Genomic DNA, 25,864 nt, shown 5'->3' with positions numbered 1-25,864 from the left:
ACCATGGAAGATGTTTGAGAATCATATCAGGGTTTATACTTTTAAAATGTGCAGGTACAGGTCCTGCCAGCCTTCCTGAATTGAATCACAATTGAATAGGTTACTCTGGTTAATATTTGTGGGAGCAGCTAGTACAATGTCTGGAAGCTAGTTAGGAATCCAGTAAATGTGAAACTTTAATTTGGATATTGAAACTGATGATTGGCATATGACAGGAGAAATCTGAGTCAGAGTTTCTGGAGGAAAGATGGTAGAATGGTCCCCGGGGAGCACCTGGCCCAGGTGCCTCAGGCCTCTGAGTGTGGGCACAGCCTCCAGGACGCTATCAACCACAGGACAGGGCATTGGGAAGGGCTGAGGAGCCAGGTTCCAGGTCTCCAGGCAAGATGCGTCTTTAGTCCCTATTGGCTCCTCTGATGATCTATTTTCTCTAGAGCAGGACTGAAACAGAAGCAAGGAAGTGGATGAAGGAGACAGAAACAGACAACATTCAAGAGGTCTAGAGCCCAGGACAGGACATGCCAGAAAAAAGAAAAAAAAAAAAAAGAGCTAGAAGGGGAATGAGGGATGAATGAAAGAAGGATAAGCTAAGCCAGATCTCTGAAGCTCAGTGGGGATAAAAATTCAGACTAGGTTTTAAAGTTGCTTTTGCTTCTTTAGTTCAGAACCAGCAAGCAATGAGTGCAAAGGCTACCCCCATCATAAATACATGTGATGGGGCTGAACTCTGGTTCCTCGGGGTTCAGTGGTCTCACTGGGTTGAGGAGCTCATTGCACAGGCTCCTTGCCTTTAAAGCATATGGCCAGCTACAGGACCACATTAGCCCTGTAGCCCGTAATGTCTTCCTAATCCCACATAAACAAGTTCCTACTCTGCCATGGTTACCTCCATGTCACACTGTTTTTATAGGTCATCAGGCCTATCTGGTGGTCATGGCCCTCCAACAGGTCACAGCTGCCAGAAAGTAACTTGGTCTCTATCCGGGTCCTCTGTCTCCTGCACCCTGTCCCATCATCTCAGTGGGGGGTGGGGGAGTGGAGTGAGGGGGGCGGAATGTCCTGGAGATGACAGTCTCTGAAACTAAGCCTGTGCCAGGAACAGTTTCCCGGCCTTCTCTTCATTTTCCATCACCAACGCAGGTCTGGATGATTTATACAACCCCTTACAGGAAGGGGAGAGGACAATCAACAGTTCTAGGGCTGGATGACTGGTATTTTATATGCATTACCTCATTTAATTTTCACAGACCCTGTAAGAGAAGCGTTATTACATTATCACCCCATATGACAGACAAGGAAACTGAGGTGCTGGGAGATCAAGCAGCTTCCTCAAAATCACAGAGCAAGTAAATGCCTTTAAAACCCAAGATCATCTGATGCCAAATACCAGGCTCTTCCCACAGCACCCCAATGCCCTACAAAATTACCCAGAGCTACCCAAGTTTATAACCTGTAGGTGTCCCCGAACTACACTGGCATTCACATATGTGGCTTAATATTAGATTGTGAGTGTATCTGGTTTATTTCAGATTTTCTTTTTCCATCCTTCCAATTATTCCACTCTGTTTTTTCTTTCTGTCATGCCCCACATACAATCCAGCAGGAAATCCTGTTGGGGCCAGTCTCAATGATTTATCTAGAAGGTCACTCTCTACTGCTACCACCTTGGTCCCAAGCAACCAGCCTCACTCTTCTGAATTCCTGCCATAGGACCCCTGGCCCCAGTGCAGCTACAGATGGATTTGAAACCTAAGTCAGACATGCCACACTGCACTCCCAACACTGCCATGCCTCCCCTGTTCATGCAGAGTCAAGCAAAGTCTCTGATCTGGTCTACAAGGCCTTAGGTGGTCCGGCTCTGTTTTTCTCTGTTGTCTCTTTCTCCCTTGCTCTCTCTACTCCAGCCACATGGGCCTCCTCGGTGCTTCTCAGCACTTTCCCACCTTTGAGCCTTTGCCCTGAGTGCCCCTCCCCCTGCATATCCAGTTGGCCAATTCCTTCACCTCCTCCAGTCTTTGCTCACACATCACCCTTTCCCCGAGGCCTCCCCTGCCTACCTTTCTTAATACATTTCCATTTCCACTTACCCTGCTCCAGTTCTTCTTTCTCACTTATAATCTTGCATCTTACTTATTTACTGTGTTTGTGATGTACATCTGCCTCCCTCCACTAGAATGAATGCTCCATAAAGAAAAAAAATCTTTGTCTGCTTTGGTCACTGATAAATCCCAAGTGCCCTGAACAGAGCCTGACACTTGGTAGGTGTTCACTAACCATTGGTTGAAGGGATAAAACGGATACAAAGCTGACAAGATCCCAAAGTCTTTACGTTCACCTCTCCCTGGGTCTGACTGGGCACAGCTGCAAATCCATTATCCCTAATGTTCACTTCTAGGGCAAGATGCTGGCACATCGTCGACTCCTCTGCTTCTCTGCTTAACTTCTTCTCTCTGGGAGGAAACTTCCTTCTATGTATGTGTCTCAGTGAGCTATCTCAGCCCTCCAGTTCTGTTAGAAATGCAAAGCATTTTGCTCTCACACAGGGGCAGCTCTTAGTTCTCTCCATTCACAATGAATGAAGACTTGAGGCATCTGAAACTCCAATCAAGTGAAGACAAAACAATGCAAATCCCAGCATGCAGTAATGAACAAAATCCCCCCTGCGATTCTTTTTATTGTAGTCAGAAATGGCTAATGGTGAACATCATTAGAATAACACAGGCTTAAAAACTGAATGTGGGTTAATGTTCATAACAAGAGAAATAATTAGGTTCTCCACAGACATTTACACTTAATTTCTAAAGCTTATTATTTATTATATTTTGTCTTGTTTAGGGCTGGCCCTTGGTAAACTGTTTGCATTTAACAAGTTGTTTGATTCTCACAAGTCTTGTATTTCATACTCGAGAAGTCAAAGCAACACCTTTAATCAAAGTGAAATGCTTTAATTAAATAATCATAAAATTCCCCTCAAGGAAACAATTACACCCAAAAGCACGGTTAACATAATTTCTTGTTGTTCCTCTCAATTCTTGACATTGGCCTAGTCTGGTCAGTATCCTACTGTAACGTATTTATGTGAAGTTCAATGTTGTCTTTTTCACTCTAGTATGCTAGGGCAGTGATTGCCAAGGTCATCATCAAAACCTTGGGAGTTTCCCATGAATAAGGAGTCTCTGGAGGCTCTAATCCAATATGCAAGTGATGGGGCCCTGGAATCTGCTCCCTGGAAAGCTTCCTGGGTGTTGCTGGTGGAAATCCAATGTGGGAACTTGTCCATTAGTGACTTACTCCAGAAGAGACTGAGCAAGGCACTTTGCACATGACAGTATTCACTCCAAAACATGCACTGACTCAGGTAGAAAGAAGCGAGCATTATTGAGAGTTATGGAGTATTCAACATGGAAGCTGCAGTGTTACAGGAATCAGAGGACCAGAGAGACCAATATCGGTGAATAAAGGAGGATGTTTATTAAGGTGTGCACCGACTCAGTGGATTCACATCCAAAAAGCTGAGCGTAGAGTGCTGGTACTCCAGGAGAGCAAGAACTTGGCTAGTCCTATTCATAATTTTATCTCCAGTACTTTGCATAGTACTGAGAACACAGTAGGTGTAATAAAAATCAGTTGGATAGGTGGGGCAAGCTGACTCACACCTGTAATCCTAGCACTTTGGGAGGCCAAGGTGGGCAGATCACCTGAGATCAGGAGTTCAAGACCAGCCTGGCCAACATGGCGAAGCCCCGTCTCTACTAAAAATACAGAAATTAGCCGGGTATGGTGGTGCATGCCTGTAATCCCAGCTACTTAGGAAGCTGAGGCAGGAAAATCGTTTGAACCCAGGAGGTGGAGGTTGCAATGAGCCAAGATAGCACCACTGCACTCCAGCCTGGGCAACAGAACGAGATTCCAACTCAAAAAAAAAAAAATCAGTTAGATAAATGAACTTACTCTATGCCAATCACTTTATATACAGTAATCATTTAACTTACACCTTACAAAATCAGGTAAGGTAGACCCTATCTGACAGGTGCACATGTTAATATTCCAACAAGTTAAGTCAGTTGCTCGATTACCCAGGAAGTGACTGAGAAAAGATAGGAACTTGGGTTTGTTTAGCTTCAAAGCTGTTGCCTATTGCGTACTCCGGGGTGGCCAGGTGGGCAGGTTGCAGTGGGTTCAAACTGTCCCAGTTATTGCCTCTCCCAGGCCCACCTGCTGCTGTAGCTGAAGACCTCCACCCTGCAGGTTCAGTCCACTCACCTCCTCCAAGGCCCATCCTGAGCCCATGACCATCAGAAGGTAGATTCTGGAGTACATCACACTGCCCTGAGTTCAGATTCTGTTGTACTCGGGATAGACGCACCCATCCAACACGTTCACAGAGCTGGGCAATCCCCATCTTGTCTGCTTTCTTCCACTCCCTGCCAAGAGGGACCTGTCTGTAAAATACAACTTCTCTTGGGTCCTTTCTTGGAATTCTCATCTCTAGTTGGGCACCTTGACAATCTGTCTGGCCCTTATTAATTCCCTTCCCAGGCTCTCCAGCCCTGCACCTCTCTCCCCACCTTCTCCTGGTCAGATTCTACTCATGTTCAAGACCTCCTTGGGCTTCCTTTGGCACATTGTCCCAGACTCCTTATTGGTCTCCTGGCTTCGAGAATTGTTCCACCCTCCAGACTCTCCCAGTCTGATTTATTAAAGTACACTTTAAGCCTTGGCACTGCCTTGTTTAAGATCTTTGAAGGGCTCTCTTCACTTACAGAGTATTGTCCCAGCTCCTTAGCAGGGCACATCCATCCTTCCATGATCTGGCTCCTGCTTCTCTGGCTTCATTTCTTGCAAGCCATGGTGTTTCCACATATCTCTGATGTCCTTGCTCTTTCCTCTGCCTAGGATGTCTTCCCTACTGTTGTACAATTATAACTCTGTTTGACTCGTCTTCTAAACTTCAGCTCAAGTGTCATCTCCAGAAAGCCTTTCCTCCATTCCCACCCAGGTTTGGCTATCTCTCTTCCATGCACTCATAGCAACCTTAGCAGGTTATGTTAAAGTCATCTTGTAAGTTCCTTAAGGGAAGGATCAAGTTTAATTCATTGCTAAACCTAACATGGTGCCTGGCACATAACTGATATCCAAAAATATGTGCAAATCTAATTACACTGAAGTGTAGTGGAAACCCCACCGCCACCAGAGAGCTCAGCCCTCCCTCCTACATGCCTGAACACCATTCTAGCTTTCTGGAGACTTCTGACCACCTGCCCACTAGATCAGTACCTCATGGTGTCAAAGAGAATCTGGAGCTAGTGCAACTTTTTGCACACGGAGACACAGACCTTAGGCTTTTGCTGTGTGGCGGCTTTGTAGGCAGAGGGTCCTGTCCACTCCCAGACTTTCCTCCATGTTAATTCCTGCCCTCAAACCAAGCCCAGCATAACCATGAACTCCATCCTTCACACAGACCAGGGCAGAGGCCACCTCTAACCCAGGTCACACATCTAGCAAACAAACATCACTTTTAGCAAAAGACAAGGAAGGAAGGACTGGTGGCTCAGCACACTTTCTACATGAGTAACTTTAAAATGGATTATCTCCTGAGTGGAGGCCAGGAGCTTCCATTTTCTACATGAGTAACAGCACATCAATATGGTAACTGCTGGGTCAGTATGGCCCGGTTTTCTTACATCACGGGAACGAGAGCTCCAAGGCACCCCTAAACCTCCAACCCCCTCAGGCTCCTATCGCTTCTGTGCCAGGGTCCTGATGATGAAGGATGATGGTGATGGAGAGAGTTTCCGTGCTGCTGAGACACTCACTCTACTCCAACACTAACATCTTCGAGCCATAAAGGCACACTGTATTTTCAAGGCTTGCCTGATCCTATTTCTTTGTAAGTTGAATTAAGCTCTTTACTGTGTATTACCAATATTAAAAAAGAATGAATTCACATCTTGCAAATACAGCAAAAAGCAATCACTCCCATGACAAGGAAGTCATTGGCCAGCATCCACAGAACTCAATTTTAACTTTCGAGCCCAGTCAGCAGGCAAACATGCCGGCGTATGGCAGGGTCAGCCCTAGGCAGCATCATGAGCGGGGTAATGTGAGCTGTCATCATCCCAGGTCTCTTGTCTTTCCTCTTTTTCCTCACCTTCCCTTTCAATGCCTCTTCAGCCCAAGCTCTCCACCCTATTATCCTTCCAGGTCTTTCCCGTGTCTTGGAGAAAGGGGCCTGTACAGTTTCCACATGAAGGTGAGGTAGCTAAGGAGCATAACCCAGGTAAAAAATGACTTGTAAAGTGCTAGACAGGAATAATAATAATGTCTTCTCTGTGAGTTGTCTCTACACTTTGCAAAGCCTTCTTGTCATGGTGGTGTAGGAACTATTATTAATGTTTTATCCGCACTCCTTTATACCCCCAGTTCCTCTGCATTTTAGAAGAGGATCCTTGCGGTAAAGAATGAAGAAACAAAGACATAAAGAAATGAAGGTTAAAATCTCATAGCTTCAGGAGAGCAGTGATTTTGGGTACAGCCTAGAGAAGGGTCAGGTAGCTTTCTGCACTCCCCAAGTTGCCAGAAGACAGTACCTCCCTATCTGTCTTTTGGCTTTTCTTTGAATATTTTAATGATTGGGATCAATAAAAGGGGGAAAGGAGCATGGCCTACTTTGGTATGAAATTTCCGTAATCTAAACGTCAATGTTAAGAGAATGATTAAATAGTATGCATCCACTAAAGGAATAAGGTAGATCCACATGTACTGACATGGAAAACTCCCCCCCAAAAAAGCAAGTAACTGAATAATGTATCTAGTACAGTAGGATCTCATTCACACACACACACACACACACACACTCACACACACACACGTATAAGCCACGTCTATATGTTACATATGTGATAATACATAAAATAGGTCAGGATGGATTCACCCCAAACTATCAGCAGTGGTCATGGATGGGGAGGGGAATGAGATTATAGGACTAAGGATTAAAGGGAATTTTTCTTGTTTATTCTATATACTGCTGTATTGTTTGAATTTGGGCTTATAAGGAACATGCATTGATTTTGTAATTTTTTTACAAAAACAACAAGATATTTCTCTTCCTAATAGAATTCATGTTGAGAATCAAGGAAAATATTTTGCACATCTTTCTGTGGCACCTGGCTAAACACATACACATACACAGTTACCTGACTAATGATCTTGCTTTAAGATTGTTTTTTCAAGGAGCTGGGAGGAGGGTAATCACAGAAATTGTACCTTCACTAGGAAAATGCTGTCAGATTTTAATCAAATATGTGCAGAAAATGCCAACTGTGGGGTGTGTGTATATATTTCTTCCTTACATTGAATGCAAGTGAAGATTCTGATTGATGGCCCTCAGGTGTGTGCCCATCCATCCTGCTGCCTACACCACTACAGATGGAGTGGACCTCCATCTCTACCTCTCCCTGTGATGGCTTCTCCAGGCTGAGTCTCCAGGCATCTGCTTTTCTGGGATGGATATTTGGCCTAAGCTATGGCAGGGCCAGAATCTCCTGTTTCCTGTCTCCTGCCAGGCTTAATCAGGTAGATACCCATGATTTCTCTGCTTCCAGCTTTCCTTCTAAGAGGAGAGAACACATGGCTCTCTAGGCTACAATAGGGTCAGGCTGCTCAACCCCAATGTGACATAATTTCTAAAAACGTCTATGTTTCCTTCCTGACAACCCTATAGAAGCTACCTATTGTTTCTCCTTAGGGCTCTGGGTAGCCACTGCCTGGAAACATGAGTGTCTATTGGTAGAACCTTGCCCAGGGCAGTTAGGAACCCAAGAATAAGAATCATTGCAATGAGATATCCAAAAAAGGTAGAGGGAAAGTTTTGCTCTGGCTGTAGGCAATCACAGCCTGAATTAGGGATGAATTATTTATGGAGATTTGACAAACAATGATAGAACCAACTAAAAATTGGTCTGCTTTGTATTATCATTATGCAACTGGCAATTCCAAGCAATTTCAAAGAAAAAATACTCATCCCTGTTTAGGTAGGCCACTGTCAAGTCCCACCCCTTCCCTGTTCAGCAATGCCCAGGAGCCTCGTAGCATAGCCAGGTCAAGAACCTAATGTAAATGACGAGTTAAGGGGTGCAGCACACCAACATGGCACATGTATACATATATAACAAACCTGCACGTTGTGCACATGTACCCTAGAACTTAAAGTATAATAATTAAAAAAAAAAAAAGAATGTGCGGTCTGGGATGGATGCGGTGGCTCATGCCTGTAATCCCAGCACCTTGGGTGGCCGAGAGGGGTGGATCACTTGAGGTCAGGGAGAGGGGTGGATCACTTGAGGTCAGGAGTTTGAGCCCAGCCTGGCCAACATGGTGAAACCCCATCTCTATTAAACATACAAAAAGTAGCTGGGCATGGTAGAACACACCTGTAGTACCAGCTATTTGAGAGGCTGAGGCAGGAGAATCGCTTGAACCTGAGAGGTCGAGGTTAGAGTGAGCCGAGATGATGCCACTGCACTCCAACCTGGGTGACAGAGCAAGACTCCATCTCAAACAAACAAACAAAAAGAATGTGAGGTCTGAAGTTAGACACCCTGGTTAGAATCCTAAGCCTATCACTTATTATCTCTTTGAGTTTGGCAAGTTACTTAACATCTCTGAGCCTCAGCGTCTTCTACCATCAAATGTTAATAAAATATCTCACAGGTTCATTGTGAAGACATAATAAAGGAAACTACGTAAAAAACTTTGGTAAACTGTTAAGTGATATAAAATGTTATATAATTTGTAGTTAAAATTAGGTTTGAACTTAATATGGCTAACATTTTCACTCTTCTGTGCTTTTACACATGTTGTACCCTCTAACTGTTAAGTTCTCATCCTCTTTATCTATATAATCTGTATTGTCCCGATGTCCCCAGCCTGCCATTTCAAAATGAGGCCACACTTCCTTTTTAAACCAAAATTGAGTTGGCCAAAGCCCCTACATCACCAGGTAGTGTATAAGATCTGTCTTTACCTGGATTTTCCCTCCCAGGGATCCCAAAGAATCACCTTCACTAACTCATAAATCAGTTCCCCTTGCCACTTACCTACTGTCACCCTCCAGGAGCTCAGACACCCTCCAGGCTAGACTCTGCCACCATAGGTTATGGTCAGCCTCCGGGCCCTGTGGCCAAGTGAAGTGCTGCTGAGGGCCTTGTTGGAGCACAGGTGATCCACACAGATGCTGCTTCCTTCAACCTGAATGAGCATGAGCAACCTGCCTGAGCAAGAGCCAGCAAAATGGCCTGGGCTCCAGGGGCACAGTTCTGAGCATTCCCTCTTCTAGGTGACATTCACTATCATTCCCCGAGGCTACCTCATGGTACCAGGTGACTAAGCCAGAGGGGCTCAAGCATCATTTCCTTCCCCAATCTAGGCCAAGTGGCTGAGTCCAGGTTATTCATCCACATCCCCTCCCTTATGTGGAATGCACTACCCAGCTCCATCTGTGCAACATTTGAAAGTGACCCCATTCCCTGAAATAATCCCCTATTGCACACTGCCTGTTATTTTACCTGAATGAATAAAAACCTGATCCACCTCTGACATGATTTGGGTGCAGCACTTAGGCCAGGTTTAATCAGGTTGATGCCCACAATGCCAAGCCCCTGGGCAGTTCCATTGCCAACACTCCTGGGACATCCCTGGTGGCTTGATCAGGAATCTGGCAAAGCCTTAGGGCATTAGCAGGCCCCTACTTCTCCTCACACTGTGCAGCCACTCACTGAAGCAAAGGAAATTGGACTCTGGCTCAGCCAACAATGAACTATGAGAGGATGAGGAGTCAGATCGTGTCCTTTTGAACTATCTTAGGCTGTTTTGTTTCTCCAAATGGGTATTCTTTATAGCTAGACTTAAGAAAGAAAACCTTCCTTGACCACTGTTAGAGGCTGAATTGTGTCCACTCCCAAAATTCATATGTGAAGTCTCAACCCTCCGTACACCTGAAAGTGACTGTATTTGGAGATAGGGTCTTTAAAGAGGTAATTAATATTAAATGAGTTCATTGGGCTGGGCCGTCATCCAATACATCTGGTGTTCCTTTAAGAAGAGGGAGTTTGGACATAGACAGGTACAGAGGAGTGACCATGAGAAGAGGCAGAGAGAAGACGGTCACCCAGAAGCCAAGGAGAGAGCCCTGGAACAGATGTTTCCCTCACAGCCCCCAGAAGAAACCAACCCTGCCAACGCTTTGATCTCAGGCTCTAGTCTTCAGAACTGTGAGAAAAGAAATTCCTGTTATTTAAACCACCCAATCTGTGGTATTTTGTTACAACAGCCTTATCAAACTAACGCAACCACTTAGTGGGGGAGAAAGAAGAACTCCATGAATCAGGCAAGCTTGGGGCCTGAGGCCCTCTTCTGGTCCACTGCTTCCCCATCTGGGTGGCCACAGTGCTCGCCAAGGTTACCCCAGGCTGCAGCTCTGCATTTGATTCCCCCAAACACTCATAGTCTTAGCTCCTCATTTTTAACAATAGGTCTTCCTTGCAGCCACAGGAATTTGAAGCAAGACCGAAGTGCAGCAGATTGGAGAGTGGGGTCGTGGTTTGTTAGCAAGGCAGTGGAAGTGGTCACGATCCTTCAATGACTGTTAAACCTTCATCCGAGTCTGACTCCCATGAACGAACTACTCAGGCAGATGCAAACAACCAACCAGCCTTAGAGACAAACGGACCAGCGAGGAGAGGAGAGTTGTGTGGAGACTGGAGAATGTGTGTTGCCAGCCTGTTTCTAAAAATGGAATAGAAGAATGGTGAGTATCCTTGAGGCAGAGAGAAAGAAAGAAGCTCTCCCATGAATGCTGCTGTAAGGGAAGAGGCATCTGCAACTTGCCTTTCTAACCTACCCAGACTTGTGTTTTACAACTGGCCTGATACTTGTACAGGTAACTGGCCAAGAGAAAAAGTGATCATTTGGGTCTGGTGCTTCTTCCATGTTTTTTTTTTTTTTTCTTAAAAGAAACATTATAAAGCTGAATGTCTGAAATGATTTTGGATTCACACCTACTGTCTATGGAACAGCTTGAAGCTGACTAGTTTAGCTCATTGAAACACTCGGATCCGCTCAGACTCTGCCCACACACAAGAGCTTGGCACTAGCCAGGCTCCAAGAGATCTGGTTCTTGCAAACAGCTCCTTTTGCTTTCTCTCCTTCTGTCAGATTGGGCTGCTCCTTGCTGTCTTTTTCTGGGTCTTGAGGGCAGCTCTTTCCATCCCTGTCCAAGCCCCTCACTTCCAGCTTCCAGGATATGCCAAAATTGACCACTCTACCTCCCTAGGCTAGTCCATAGTGCCACACTCCTATTCTCTCTCCTCCCCTTGATTAAACTTGTATTTCCACACATCTGAACAGGCTGCTGCACAAGCTTCCTTCTCACTCACTTGCTTCCCACCAGCTCTTGTTCTGCTTCCTCTTCTCTCTCCCATAACCAATTCACTCAGACAGAATGGATCTTATGTAACACGCCTCCCTGTCACTTCCCCAAAAGGTGGCTTCCAAGCCCTGGTTGAGGCAGAGACATCTGCATTTCCACTTGCAGAAACAAACACCATGTGGGGCTCCCTGGCACCTCTCCAGGGCTGTGAGATCAGGCACACGCTGAAAGAAGTGCTATCCTGCTTACAACCCACAGTCCCTCCCTGGGCTACCTGGTCACAGATTACACGAGCAATTGTCACATAATCGTCCTGTAATGTCTTCCCAGAGATTTCAACTAGCTCCAAATTGTTTTGGCTAATAAAAACTAAGGAGATTTGCAGGAAACTCCAGATGCATTCAAACACTTGGGGGGATTGAGCAGCCTGAAGGCAGATGAAACTTAACTCAAATAAACATAAGGTAATGTGCATTGGCAAAAGTAATCTAAGATGTGAGTGTATATCTGTGCACTCCAAATTTGCAGCCGCCTCTGAGGAAGGAAATCTGGGAATAGCTCACAATGGATGAAGTGGGCAGAACAGCCAAGGCTGTCCCAGAGTAACTACTCCTTGACAAGGAAAATCGGATCTCATTTTGTACAGACCCCATCAGTGGTCCAAACTGGACTGTGTTGCTTGGTTCTGCTACAGATTCCATAGTGTCACTCTTACTTTCAGTTGTGGGAAGACAACAAGAAGTGGTTTCCAGGTGCTAGCCTCTGAGGCCAGGAGGCTATGCGGTGTTCCTGGTGGGGTAAGTTGAAGTACATGTCTGTGTTTGTCCATTTTTACCATTGATCGCCAAATCCTGGAAGGTGCCGAGTTATCTGCACCTGCTGATTAACCCCCAGGGCCGTGTTTAGATGAAGGACCAGCTTCCAAATTACAGTACCCCCTGACTTCAGACAACTCTCTAATTTGCTACATAAAAATTACTGAAAAGCCGTGTTTTGGTGTGCCATAAAGGGAGTTTAGTTCTTGGACTGGGGGAATATACACACACATACATATAAACACATGTAATAAATATATACATATATGTGTGCCTGCACACAAACACACACATACATCTGCTAATTGTGATTTCTATGGGTATGACCCTGCGTGGTCCAAGAAACCCAGTAGACAGGTAAGTGACTTTACCGGCACTTGAGAAGTACCGCTGTTTGCAGGGCCGGAGGAGGTCGGCACAGGCCTGCCAATCATGCCTTGTTCAGCCAAACCTCTCTCCTCCAAACCTCTGAGAGATAGGGGCAGATGACCACCAGCCCCATATCTTCAGCCTCCTCAGAAAGGTGCTGATACCTGCAAACAGGAGGGGGAGCAATGGCCTATCACTTCCCTCTTGCTGCAGCACCAGGAGCTGAATAGTCTCAAGTCAGCTTGGCTTACCTCCCTTCTCCCACAGTAACCATGCACAGAAAAGGTGCGATAGCACTGAGGGAGGCTGTGGATTGGGAGGAGAGGTGGGGTCTGGAATATTCTCCCTTCTAGAAAGTAGCAAAAGAGTTCCAGTGCCTGGCAGTCCAAAGGCCCCTCGTGGCATAGAGGAGAAAGGGAGACATGGCCACAGCCCCAGCACCAGGAACTGGGCAGGTCCATTTGGCCCACCCATTGCACATGGCTCTATGTCATCATTATCCAGCTGATCATACAAAAGTCCCACCTGGCACGTGGGAGCAGTTCACAGGGTCAATGTATAATGTGCAGAGCTTCCAGGTGTGTGAGAGCCAGTCACTGAGAGCTTTGGGCTTCTTCCTCGGTCCCCAAGAACTGAAGCCATTGCTCCTCTTCCTCAGTCAGCACCAGTGCTTCCTGGGGGCTATATCCTCAGGCCTGCTGGTAAGCAAAAGCCTCCTCAATTTCTCTGGTACCATGATGCCACTGAAACAAGCATACCACCCCATTTGAGGACTTTAGGAGTCTTTTATTTTTAATAATATAGGGAATGGATTCATTTTGTTTATGCATCAAATATTTTTCTTCTGCTCCATACAAAACACTACACTAAGTGTAGAAGACAGTATAGATTTAGCAGCCAACTGGAAAAGAGAAACTGTACACAATTTGCAATGTCCGTAAGAGCAACAAAGCAAATAAAATGCTCTGAAGAGCAATTTGTCTTGGGACTAACAAAACAAAAATTTACCTGTGAAGTTCTAATAAAGAGGACACCAAGCAATGTCATAAATGAGGAATTGATCAGTTCTCATATTTTGCTGTGATCACTGGAGAATCTGCTTCTAAAGTTCTGAAATAGGGCTTGAGATTTTGCATGTTTCTTTTTTTTTTTTTTTTTTTTTTTTTTTTGAGACTGAGTTTCGCTCTTGTTGCTGAGACTGCAGTGCAGTGGTACAGTCTCGGCTCACTGCAACCTCCACCTCCCGGGTTCAGGTGATTCTCCTGCCTCAGCTTCCAACATAGCTGGAACTACAGGCGCCCGCCACCATGCCCAGCTAATTTTTTTGTATTTTTATTAGAGACGAGGTTTCATCATGTTGGCCAGGCTAATCTCAAACTCCTGACCTCAGGTGATTCATTGCCTTGGCCTCCCAAAGTGCTGGGATTACAGGGATGAGCCACTGTGCTCAGCGATTTTGCATGTTTCACAAGCTCCTCGGTGTTGGTGATGCTGCGATGCTACTGGTTGTGAGACACACTTGAGTAGCAAGGCTCTAGACCAAGTGATATTTCGCTAGGCTGTCTTATACAAACTCTTAGTACTGGTCAGTGGTGTAATTATACTGGGCAGGCTGGCCAAGGTAGCTCACACCTATAATGCCAGCACTTTCAGAGGCTGAGTCAGGAGGATTGCTTGAGGCCAGAAGTTCGAGACCAGCCTGGACAACATATTGAGACTCCATCTCCACAAAATAAAAATAAAAATTAGCTGGGCGTGGTGGTGCCTGCCTGTAGTCCTAGATACTTGGGAGGCTGAGATGAGAGGATCAATTGAGCCCAGGATTTCAAGGCTGCAGTGACCTATGATCAAGCCACTGCACTCCAGCCTGGGTGACAGAGCAAGCCTCTGTCTCTGAATAATAATAATACGGGGCATTAGCACTCAACTCCAGCAATGGATTGGAGGCTACTATGACACCCAAGTAATCAGCTCCCTACCAACCTGGTTGTACCCAGAAGAAGGTTCAGAATACTTAGAAGAATGGTAGAGTGAATAAGTTTTAAAACTCTTCCTAAATATCATTTTTCCCAGTCTAACTTCTTTATTCTTAGCTGGCTATGAACCCAAGATGGTCCTCCCCAACAAATAACTGGAGAGCTGCCAGGGCACCCTGGGAACATAGGCCAGGGGCAGACCTCAATCTCCTAGGAAGCCGAGGGACCTGGAAGGGATTGGCCTCAATTCACAATGAGAAGGATATGGGTAGGATGAGGAGGGAAGAAAGGAGTTTCCAGGTCCTTCATATAAGCCACTAACGCAGGAAGAAAACCATAGAGTGCTTAGAAGACACTGTTTGCAAGGAACACGCCCGGGCCCCCTGCCCCCACTGATACGTGTGGCTTGCTCCCTCACTCCCTCACCCTTTGAGTTCTCTGCTCAGATGTCCCCTCCTCGGACCACCCCATCTAAAACAGCCTCCTCCTGCCCCCGCCGGGACTCACTAGCCCCTTATCCTGCTTCACCACAATTATCACTACCAGAGCTCCAAACAGGTAGTTGAAGGAAATAAAATTATAAGTGGAGGACACAACAAAGGCAAAACCCTGGGGCAGGAACACACTGCTGGAGCACAATCCATGAGGGCGAGAGTGTACAAAAATGCTGTCAGAGAGGACACTCAGGACCACGAGGTAAGGCTTTGGATTCTGCATCAATCAGCTCTTGCTGCATGGCAACGACAGATGTTCAGTGGCACACAGCAGCAAGCGTCTCACTGCACATCATCGGCTCAGCCCGGACAGGCCTCCTCCACGTGTTTCATTCTGGGACCCAAGATGCAAAAGGCAGGAGCAACTGCTCTTGTTCTTGTCCTGGCAGTGGCAGACATGAGGAGCGTAAATCCAGCCGCACAGGCTCATGACAAGCATCTGCTGGCGTGAGGGCCACTGCCGTCCCAAGGACAAAGCACATGATGTGACTAAGTCAAATCAAGGGACCGGAAATACACCAGGGCCACGGTGAGGCTGCGGCAGAGTACGAGTTATCAAGTATCATGAAAATGGGGACAGGAATTCATTCTATCACAGGGTAACGTGACGGGGGAGACATTGTGTGTGGGAGGAAGGCATTGGGCAGAGCAGTGGCATGACTGGATGTGCATTTTTTGGCATCCTCTCTGGCTGTTGCATGAACAATAAACCCATTCCAGGGGGCCACAGTGGAGGCAGAGAGACCCTGCTGAAATATATCCAATGATGAGCACCGAACATAGGCTCACTGAGGTCTTGCTGTGTGCCAAGAGGATGTTGACCTTGCCTTAGACACCCTGCATGAAACTAGGGGGGCACCAGGAACCACAGCCTTGAGGAAAGGGATGACATGTTCGGTTTTTATTCCCATGGTACTCCCAGCCCTAGCACAGACCAACTAGATGGGAGACCGAATAAGAAAGCAGGAGGCCCCTGCTCCAGTGCCCAGGTGGCTGATAAAGGCCGCTGTGGACATCATGGGAGTGGAAATAGCCACGCGGTCTGGATGGGAACCCCTGGCGGTACTCATGGGTGTGCAGCGCTCAAAACGAAGGCTGAAAGCAAGGAGGATGGCGTTTGCCTCCTTTTCGCTGTAAAAATAAGACAGCAGGATGGTGAGTCAAAAGAAGCCGGCTGGCTTCACACCCTCCAGAAAGATATGCAAGGGCTTCCCATCTCATCCCATCCCACTTCAACCCTGCGTATGTCACGGCTCAGATCCCCCGACAGAGATGGCAAAGTGAAATGCTCTGAGAAAGCAGCCTTTTGGAAAGCAGACCGTTTTTATAAAAGGAACACATTGTAACCAGGAATTTTTAACTGTGGAGAAATAAACAAGTTCTCTGTGAGAGGGTGGCGACAAGCAGAAGCTGTAGCAAATGTCAAGGCAGAGAGATTCCTGAACTGGGCAGGGTTGAGCAGAGAGGCTTGGTACCTTAGGATCCCCTGGATCCTGGATAGCAGAATCAAGCTGATCAGCAGCCAGGTGGACAGGCAACAGCGTTGATGAGATAGCCTCTTTGTAGCACCACAGAGACTTACAAAAGGACAACATTTTAAGGTCCAAAAGGAAAGCCAAGTTATTCAAAATTTCAAATTAACAGAAATATCAAAAAAATAAGCACACACAACCAAAATGGAAACAGAAGCCATTCAATGTGTCAGATCAAGTCACAGAACTTCTTTCAACTTCAGCTTTTTTCATCTTTAGAATGGGGTGTTTGGACCAAACTACATTTCAACATTTCTTTTACTTCTGAAATTCTATGATCTATTAAAGGGCACCTTGTAAGAAACTCCAAAGAATGTCAAAAACAAAAACAAAAAACTGAGGGCATTCATGGAATGCACAAAGGAATGAAAGAAAAGATAGAAGCGACAATGCATTAATGCTTTGCCTTGCCCTTTACCAAGGAAGATGCATGCCCTTGAAATGGACAGGTTGGAGCATTCAATAAAATCATAGTAGATGCACAGAATGTTCTAGTCTTCTCTGACAAAACAGATATCAATAAATCACCCAGATAGGATGTGATACACCTAGGAATTTCAAATGAATTCATGGGCAGAACTGTGGAACTGTCGACTATGATGTGAGACCAGTTGTTGCAACAGCTGCGGTGCTGCAGGACAGTCGGGTTGCCAATGTTAAGCCTCAGCCTGCTTTTCCAGAGGGGACCCTGGGAAACCAACTGTTAGTTTCTCCCTTCCATACCAGCCAGGCTGCTGGAATAAAGTACAAATTTATCTTTAAATAAAGTACAAAATTGCAGAAAGTTTGAATCAACACACCCATGGAGGCAAACGCAGGATGGGTTCTACATGGAGGAATCAGGTCTGATTTTCAAAGTTCCTTGGGGGTACACAGGGTAAGGGGAGTGAGTCATTTTGCAGGCTTTGAAAATGTCTTTGTCAAGTGTCTACACTAAAACCTGATTATGGGTGAGTAAAGAATGAATGGATCACCATAGGAGTCACAGACTATTCGAAGTGGACAAATAATTAAATTTCAGCAAGGAAAACTGGGTAATAAAAAAGACTCATTTCTTTGTAAAAGGTAAGATCTCTCAGAGGTCAAGAGGTGCCAATCTTTGGTGAATAATTTTATTAAGAGATTTGAAGAACTAGGTGTGCAGTGAAACTCTCAGAGTGGTAGATGACCCCGAGATATTCTAAGTGAAATGGTAAGTCAATAGGAGAGAGCCTTTTCAAGGCTCAACAGAAAGTGGTACAGAAATTTCAACTTCAGGGCAAGTTCAAGTTAAAACACTTTAAGAATAAGCAGTTGTAGAACAATAGCCTAGAAATGACCTATAATGCCAGGAGAAGACCCTGGGAATTATTTGCTCTCCTGAGAACATTAAGCCTAACACAGGACAGTAGCATCCAAAACAATAAAATGCCAGGCACTCCATAAATATTTGTTAAATGAATGAAATGCTGAGCCATCAGAATGATACATTATAGAAAATATGTCCCAAACTTGAACAAAACTATTTGTAACAGGATGTTAAAATGGAACTCTTCTTGCCTCCCCTTTGGCTGACGCACGAAAACAATAGATGTTACCTTCCAAAATGAGACCATTATTTTTTATGGGACTTGGAAAAAGGAGATGGCTGACAATCTCAAAAAGATACATACTGAATGATTCCATAAAATAACAATTATAGAGATGGAGAACAGAGCAGTGATTGCCAGGTTAGGGATGAGAGGAGAAGGGAGTATGCTATAAAGCGGTAGCGTGAGGTCCTTGTGGTGATGGTACAGTTATGTATCTTGAATGTGGAGGTGTTTACATGAAACTACACGTGTGAAATAATTGCACAGATTTGCAAACCACACACAATTGACTGCATGCATAACTTGTGGAATCTGAATAAGCTCTGTGGATTGTAACAATGTCAGTTTCCTGGTTCTGATACTGCTCTACAGTTATGCAAGATGTTAACTTGGAGGTGAAAATTGCATGGGATGTCCCTGGATGTTTCTTCGCAATGCAGCTTCCTATAAGCCCATAATTATGTTAAAATACAACATTTTTTAAAAAGAGGTGGGGGATGAAAAACCAGTTTCAACCCTGAGCTGACCACCCACCTCTAGCCCATAGAAGAGATTACAGAAGTCAAGAAAGGAGAAAGCGGAGGTTGAGAGAACATTTTTAGAGAATGCTCTATGTATATTATGATTCTGATCCTGTCCTTGGAGTAAGGACTAGAGTGCTGGTACCTCGTGTTAAAATTAGTGAAGAGCCTTCAATAGGAACACTCTGAAAGCATGGTCTGTGTCCCCTGCAGTTGAGGGACACATTAAACTGTGCCTAGCCCCTAGCTGAGAAATTTCAAGAGCAAGAGTTGGTCTGGCCATCTGCTGACATACAATCCAAGGAGAAGGGGCTGTGTTGGGGGCCTGCTCTCACAGTGTAAAAAAATACACTGTTGCTTTCCGTGAGCCAGATGTGGACCATAGTCTTATCCAAAAGGGCTGCCTGAGAGATGAAGAGAGAGCAGCAGAGATAAGACAGAGATAATGCCAAATGCCAGGAAGCAGGGATAGAGTGTGCAATGAGCTGGAGAAGAGTGTCTTGCCCATGTCAATGGACTGCAGGTAAGAGAAAGGTCTCTGGTGATGGGAATGTCCTAAAACCCCACAGGATACAGATGAGAACAAGTCAGCTTTAAACACTTCCCAAGCCCAGAGAGGGCCACACCAAGCTCACAATAGTACCAGGCAAGATAAAACTTTTCTGGCCAATGTTATCTTTTCTCCCTTCCTATGATCCGCTGAATAGGGGCCAGAAATCACAGTTAATGAGATGGAGGAGGGAGATGGGAAGCACGAGGTGAAGAAAAGTGAAAGTGAGTGTGTAGTCCTGCTCCCAGCTGCCAGACTCCACTCGCAACAGGTCACGATCAGGAAAGGAAGGGAAAACAACATTGAACCAAGTCCAAAGTATTATCTGTTACATGAGACTGGATTTTTAAATTATTGATTGGAGAATGCTGTGACTAGAAAAAACCTGCCTGAGTTTTTATCCAGACACAAGAGAAGAACTAGACCCACATAGCAGATTTAAAGGGACAGTGGGAGGCAAAACGTTAGTTCATGGTTATATGCCATAGTCTTGCCTATTCAATGTGATTGCTGCATAGAGTGCGTACCGAGGACTGTGTGCATTCCTATTTCATCAAGAAAGATGTCACAGAACTGGAGGGGGCAATGAAAAAACCCATAGCATGAGGGGAGGGAGGAGGGCATACATGAAGAGATTTAAAAAGATGATGACTTCAACATAAAGGCAAAGGTTGAAATGGAAAGTTTATTGAAATCAATACAATCATAAATGATATGAATAATGTCAATAAAAATCTTTGCCAGACCCCAGAATACAGTAACAGAAGGGCATCACTCAAGGTAAGAGAAAGACCCAGCAAGGACAAATATTCTTAGGGAAAACATCGCTTCTCAAGAAATGATATAGGTTAAACACACAAATGGATACCTTTAAATTTAAATTCAATTGAACTTGAAAAATAAATACATTTACAGTACTTTTAGAGAGAAGGAAGAATCCAAAATTATATAAACAAGATGAAAAGTACTGAAATGCAACTAGAAGTATCCATATTATACTGATATTTAATGTACTTTAATAATAAGCATTAATTTAAAAAAAATCCTGTGCAACTCTTTTATGGAACAAGAGATATCTATGAGTTATAACCACACCAACAAGGCTCATAATAAAAACCTGAAGTATCAATAACTACCATATTGATAAGAACATTTATTTCATGAATACATAAAACCACCAATGGAATGTCACGAACATTGTTTTTTTCATTGATGTGACGCAGATTATATTTCTGTAGCCATCTGAACAGGCTACAGAAGAGTTTTAAAGGTTTGGATCAGTGGTTCTCCACTAGAGTGCACATTGCATCAATCTGCCCCAAGGTCCTAGTGGGTACATCCTCTTTTCCTAGAATGCTTGTTCCCAACCTCGTGCATCAATCATGTTTCTGCTCAAATGTCCCCTGCTCAGAGGGACCCTCCCCTTTTTCAACCTATTTACAATTGCTACCATTACCCATCACCACCTGAAATTCTATTATTTATTTTGTGCTTATTTATTGTCTGTCTTCTTGCTGGAACATAAGTGCCAGGAGGGCAGCAGCCTCGCCTTTTCATCACTGTATCCCCAGGGCAGTGACTGGCACCTAGCAGGCTGTGGCAAAGGCTGCCAGTTTCCCACCTAACGTCCATGCTCCCTTTCTTCCTTAATAATGGAGTCCCTATATTGTCAGGTTCAGCAGTTGTGCCCAGCTATACAATTACATCTACAGCCTCTCTTGTCAATAGAAATGGTCAAACAGAAGACATGGAGTGGAGCTTCTTGGAAAACACATTGAAGGAGGCTTACTCTTTAAAGAAAGTACACCCTTTTCCCCTTGCTCCTTTCTCCTTCCTACTGCCTAAAACATGAATGTAATGGCTGGAGCTGCAGCAGCCACAGTTGTAACCACGAGGTAAGCTTACTTAACAGGAACCATTCTAAGAGGGGTATGAGTCTTTGATGATCATACCAGGCCTAGGGGGCATACTTCTTGACTTCTTTCCCATGGTAAAATAAACCTCTACCTGTTTAAATCACATGATTAGTGTTAATTGTTATATGTAGCCAAACCTAATTCTGATGTAAGAATGCTTAGTAAATATTTGTAGGATAAATGAATGTGTTTTTTTCTTTTCTTTTTTCTTCTTTTTTTTTTTTTGATGGAGTTTTGTTCTTGTCTCTCAGGCTGGAATGCAGTGGCACAATCTCAGCCTACTGCAACCTCCACCTCCCGGGTTCAAGCAATTCTCCTGCCTCAGCCTCTGGAGTAGCTGGGATTACAGGTGCCTGCCACCATGCCCAGGTAATTTTTTGTATTTCTTGTAGAGACAGGGTTTCACCATGTTGGCCAGTCTGGTCTCAAACTCCTGACCTCAGGTGATCCACCTGCCTCAGCCTCCCAAAGTGCTGGGATTACAGGCATGAGCCACAGCACCTGGCAGCGTTTTTTCTTTTAAACTCTTAAAAACTTTATTTAAAAATATACATTGCTACATTCCCCACTCCAGATCTCTGATTAAGCAGTTCTGGAAGTGGGAACTGGGTGACTGTGGTTACCAAATTAGTTTGCAGACCACTAGCTGGATGACCCTTCCATTAGGCTAGATCTACACAGAGGAGAATCAGAAAGAGTTCTGGGATCCTGGTGCAGTCACTTACCTGCTAGCTGTGTGACCTGAGGCCATCGCCTCTCACTAAACTGTCTTACCGTCAGTAAATCAGGTCAATGTTGTAAGTAGATGTTTCATAAATATTTATTGTTGTTGTTATACAAGCTCTAAGGCAAATGAGGATGTTATAAGAAAATGCCATGGCTTTCCCCAGATGGCTGTCTTTGAGACAATGCTGGGAAAACCACATGGGGAATCTAATCTATCATGACAATTCCTCTGCTCTAATGCTTGAAGGAAAAGAAGGTGAGTCATATATACAGAACTGTTTTACATGCAAGCTACAGAGACCCATTGGGACTAGCTAAGTTAAGTTGGGAAATTTTGCTGAGCCTTAGAAGCAAATGAACTAGGGATTGAACATCCTCAGCCTCTCTCCATCTCTGTTTCATATCCATTGTTCCTCTCTTTGTTTCTGCTTCACTCTTCTCTTCCTCTCTGTAACCTTTCATCCTCTGCTTTTCTGGTTCATATAAAAATATAGCTACGGAGAACTCCCAAATTCACACCATCCACGAGGAGACTCAGTCATCTGCATTTCAGGTTTCCAGGGAAGAGACCCTGCTTGGCTCAGCTCAGTGATATGACCCCCCCACCGCCATGCCTCATATCCTATTGTATGGGTGCAGGATGCACTGAGGGAAGTGGCTGGTCCTAATAACAACATAGATGGAGACAGGAGCAAGGCTGTGAGCTGGAGGGTGAACGTGACAGAAATACAGGAAGTTCATTATGAGAAGTGAAGTCAAGTTTAGTTTGGGTAAGCAGAGAACCTGAGCCAGAATCAGTGAAGAAGTAAGGATAGGGAGATGCCAACTCTTCAAAATGCTGGCCCACCTCAACTGGTTCCATCAAAGTAGGGGCTCATAACTGGGGGTAATTGAGAGATTGACCTGAATTAAGGCATCCTGGATACTGCACAGACAATTGAAGGAGAGGTGATTGGTGAATAGAGGGCTTGCAGTGCTCAAATGTTTGGTTTGATAAATATTCAACCATAGTTTCACTCAAACACCAAAGGCCTGTAATGGACTGAACATAAGAAAAAAAGGATGTTTCAGATCAGCCACTTTTAGCCTATCTTATCTTTGGAAATAAAAAGACTATTTATAGATTGCTCATCCCCTTCTGCAAGGGCTGCTTTGAAGACGATGTGCAGGCAGTCTCTGTGCCCCTCCTCTAACACAGCTCCCACTGGGCAGGTGTCCTTCCCCACCGAGCTCCAGAACCCCGGCCCCTCCCCTTGGCCCCATCAGGTCCAGGATTAGTAAGAGCACACCTGTCACTAGTCTCTGAGTCCTCAGTGTTTTTTGCTGGTTCCTCTAACTCTGCCCACACCTCCGTAAGTCTCTTCCTTTGAGAACGAAAAAGATGATGTGTATATTGTTCCTAGGCTATCAATGGACAAATGGCTTTCTTGCTTTCCATTTCACTGATGGTTTACTTTATGTGTCCATCAGTGATATATGGCTTGCATCACAATTCTACCTCTCAAGGAAGGTTCCTGGGCAACAGTGCTCTGATGTTTGTACCAGGGTCTGGAGCTTTTTCAGTGGCCAAGAGCATCATCACCCATGAGTTCTCTGGGCCACATGGAAATAGCTGTTCCAGAAAAGACATTCTGTAAAGGTGGCTTAATCTCTTTCTAGATAGACCCCTCCAGGACTTTTTATTTTAACATTGATAGAAGCTTATAAGATCTAAATAGCCTAATTAAAATCAGGAGTAAGTCTCCGTGTGACATCAGCTTCCGAGGGAGTAGAATAGGAAACACTTTTGAAGTTAATGCCATTGACTCTGAGAGATGTTGGAGGCCTGAAATGCAGGTAAAAGGAAGAGGAAGTCTGGTCTGGCCTTGCTTTTGTTGAAACATCTATTGATTCTCTTGCAGCTCATGAATATGCTTGGTTTTGAGGTTGCAGGCACCGGGACTTGCACTCTGGCTCTAACTCATAGCACTTGCAAGTCCTGGGGAAAATTTCATAATTTCTCTGGGTTTCTGCTTCCTCTTCTGTGAAATAGGATTAGTGTGAGGATTAAATGAGATATCACGTGAAGACTTGATACTGGGCCCAGCACAAAGTAGCATATCAAATAAATCACATCTATAGTTGAGAATACAGTTGAAATAGCAAAAATACATCAGACTTTCAGAAGATCTTAAAGATCTTCTGCATCTCTGTGATCCTTAAAATTTTCTCTTGCATATTAATAATGCCCATGAGTCCTTGTCTCAGAGGGATGTTGCATTCACATCTACAGCTGAGTTTGTCTGATCATGGTGCTCATAGCTCTGACACCTGTTAGGCTTGTAAGACTGCAGAATCTGAGGTCCCACCCCAGGTCTCAAGAATGTGGGGTCCAAGACTCTGCAATTTAACAAACACTGTAGGTGAGTATAACATATGAAAGCTTGAGGACTTCTGCGCTATATGCAATGGGTTTTTTAATTAGTGATTTTTTTCTAAAGGCAGAATCAAAGAAGTGGCGGGCAGGGACATGGTTCTTTTAGCTGGTGAGGATTATCTTATGATGGCTGGAGGAGGTCCCCCAGGCCCTAGTCCCTGGCTGCTGGTTGGAGTGCTAACCATCCTCACGTTCCCAAGAAAAGATGCTCTCCTCCCTAGAAAATGTGTCCAAACAGCCAGGAGCCCACCCCAGATCGGACTGTACTGTCAAAATTTCATAATATTTTGGAATTTTTTTGAATTCAAAACTACTTTCTCCTTAGCAAATTTCAAGGTTTATACTACATCAGCAAATTCTTATCAATAAGAGAAACAAGGCTGAGGACTCAGTAAAAGTGAGTCCCACTCCAAATGATCAGTCTAAAACTTTTAGGTGCATATTAAGTTAAAAAGTACCCCTGACTGTTCCTTATCAAAAGGCAAAGTGTCAGGAGACCTCCTGACTTACATTTGGGTACCAGTGAGGAAGCACAATAGTTTTGGTATTTTGTGGAGTTCCTTTTCCTTCTTTCCTTCCTTATTTTTTTCTTTATTTCCATTCATCAAAAAATGCTGTGCACCGTGGTCTAAATATTAGGAAGCAAATGTTGTCTGAGGCCATTTCAAACTAGCACGCCCGTGCACCCCCAGCTTCTGTGCATCTCCTCAGCCTTGATACCTGTTTGCTGATCTCTTGCTTCTAACTAATGAAGAACAAGCAGTTTTCTCTTCCAGATCTCTGTTGAACTGTCCTTGTCAAACAGATTGGATCACACTCAATACAAGAGGGTCTTTGTGATCAGAGCCACCAGGAATTAAGGACCCTATTTTTTTTGAAAGGATCAAATCTACAATTAACATAAATAAAAATAAAAATACTTTTTTTACTGATAGTCCTGTTGCTATTTGCCAAAGTAGCTTTGTAAATAATTAACCTTTATGTTATTTCCTAATGACTGTCTAGGAATAACACTGTGAGGGAAGATGAGGATTATCTTGGGGCAGAACAGCATGAAGAGTACCCCAAGTTAGTCCTTGAGCAATATTACTCTACTGGTTCATAAAGTCTTCTTTTTGGCTGACTCCAGAACAATTGCTCCTTAATCAGCCCTCCTTTATTGCCTCTAAAAAAGAAAAACTGAATGTGGTTACGTCATAGGGGAGCCATGCCTACATCTAGTGATGAGCTTTGTAACACAGCTGATTATGCCAAAGTTTTCCATCTCACAAGAGCTTGTGAGAAGGAGGCAGATCCATTTATCTCAGGGATTTATTCTCACCACATGTATTTATCTGATGACAAAAGGGACCAGGAGAGAAGGATGGATAACTTATTCAATATTCAATAACTCATTCGACAAATATTCACTCTATTCTAAGACAGGCTCTGCACAAGGCACAGGGGTTAGAGTGATGGACAAGGTATATTTCTGCCCTCAAGAAGCTCACAGGCTAAGGGGGGAGATGGGCCAACTATCACAGTGAAGTATGAGTACAGAGTGATCAAGA

General features: G+C 44.5%; 1 long non-coding RNA gene across 1 annotated transcript in view, besides 1 other annotated feature; it reads right to left on the bottom strand.

Annotated features, from left to right (window-relative positions):
* The window catches only part of LOC127898557 (uncharacterized), a 140,693-nt gene that overhangs the window by 62,985 nt on the left and 51,844 nt on the right, over nucleotides 1–25,864 (bottom strand). The window lies entirely within an intron of this gene.
* Nucleotides 2,457–3,068: an enhancer, noted in NCBI's record as "OCT4-NANOG-H3K4me1 hESC enhancer chr4:152795151-152795762 (GRCh37/hg19 assembly coordinates)". NCBI's record gives its function as "activates a minimal SCP1, AML or CMV promoter by ChIP-STARR-seq in naive and primed H9 embryonic stem cells {active_cell/tissue: H9 hESC(naive and primed)}" and the evidence as "EXISTENCE:reporter gene assay evidence [ECO:0000049][PMID:30033119]".

This window comes from Homo sapiens, chromosome 4 (genome assembly GCF_000001405.40).
Source record: "Homo sapiens chromosome 4, GRCh38.p14 Primary Assembly".
NCBI classification, from domain to species: domain Eukaryota; kingdom Metazoa; phylum Chordata; class Mammalia; order Primates; family Hominidae; genus Homo; species Homo sapiens.
The sequence above is the reverse complement of the archived record's forward strand: the minus strand, read 5'-3'. Positions and strand labels throughout refer to the sequence as shown.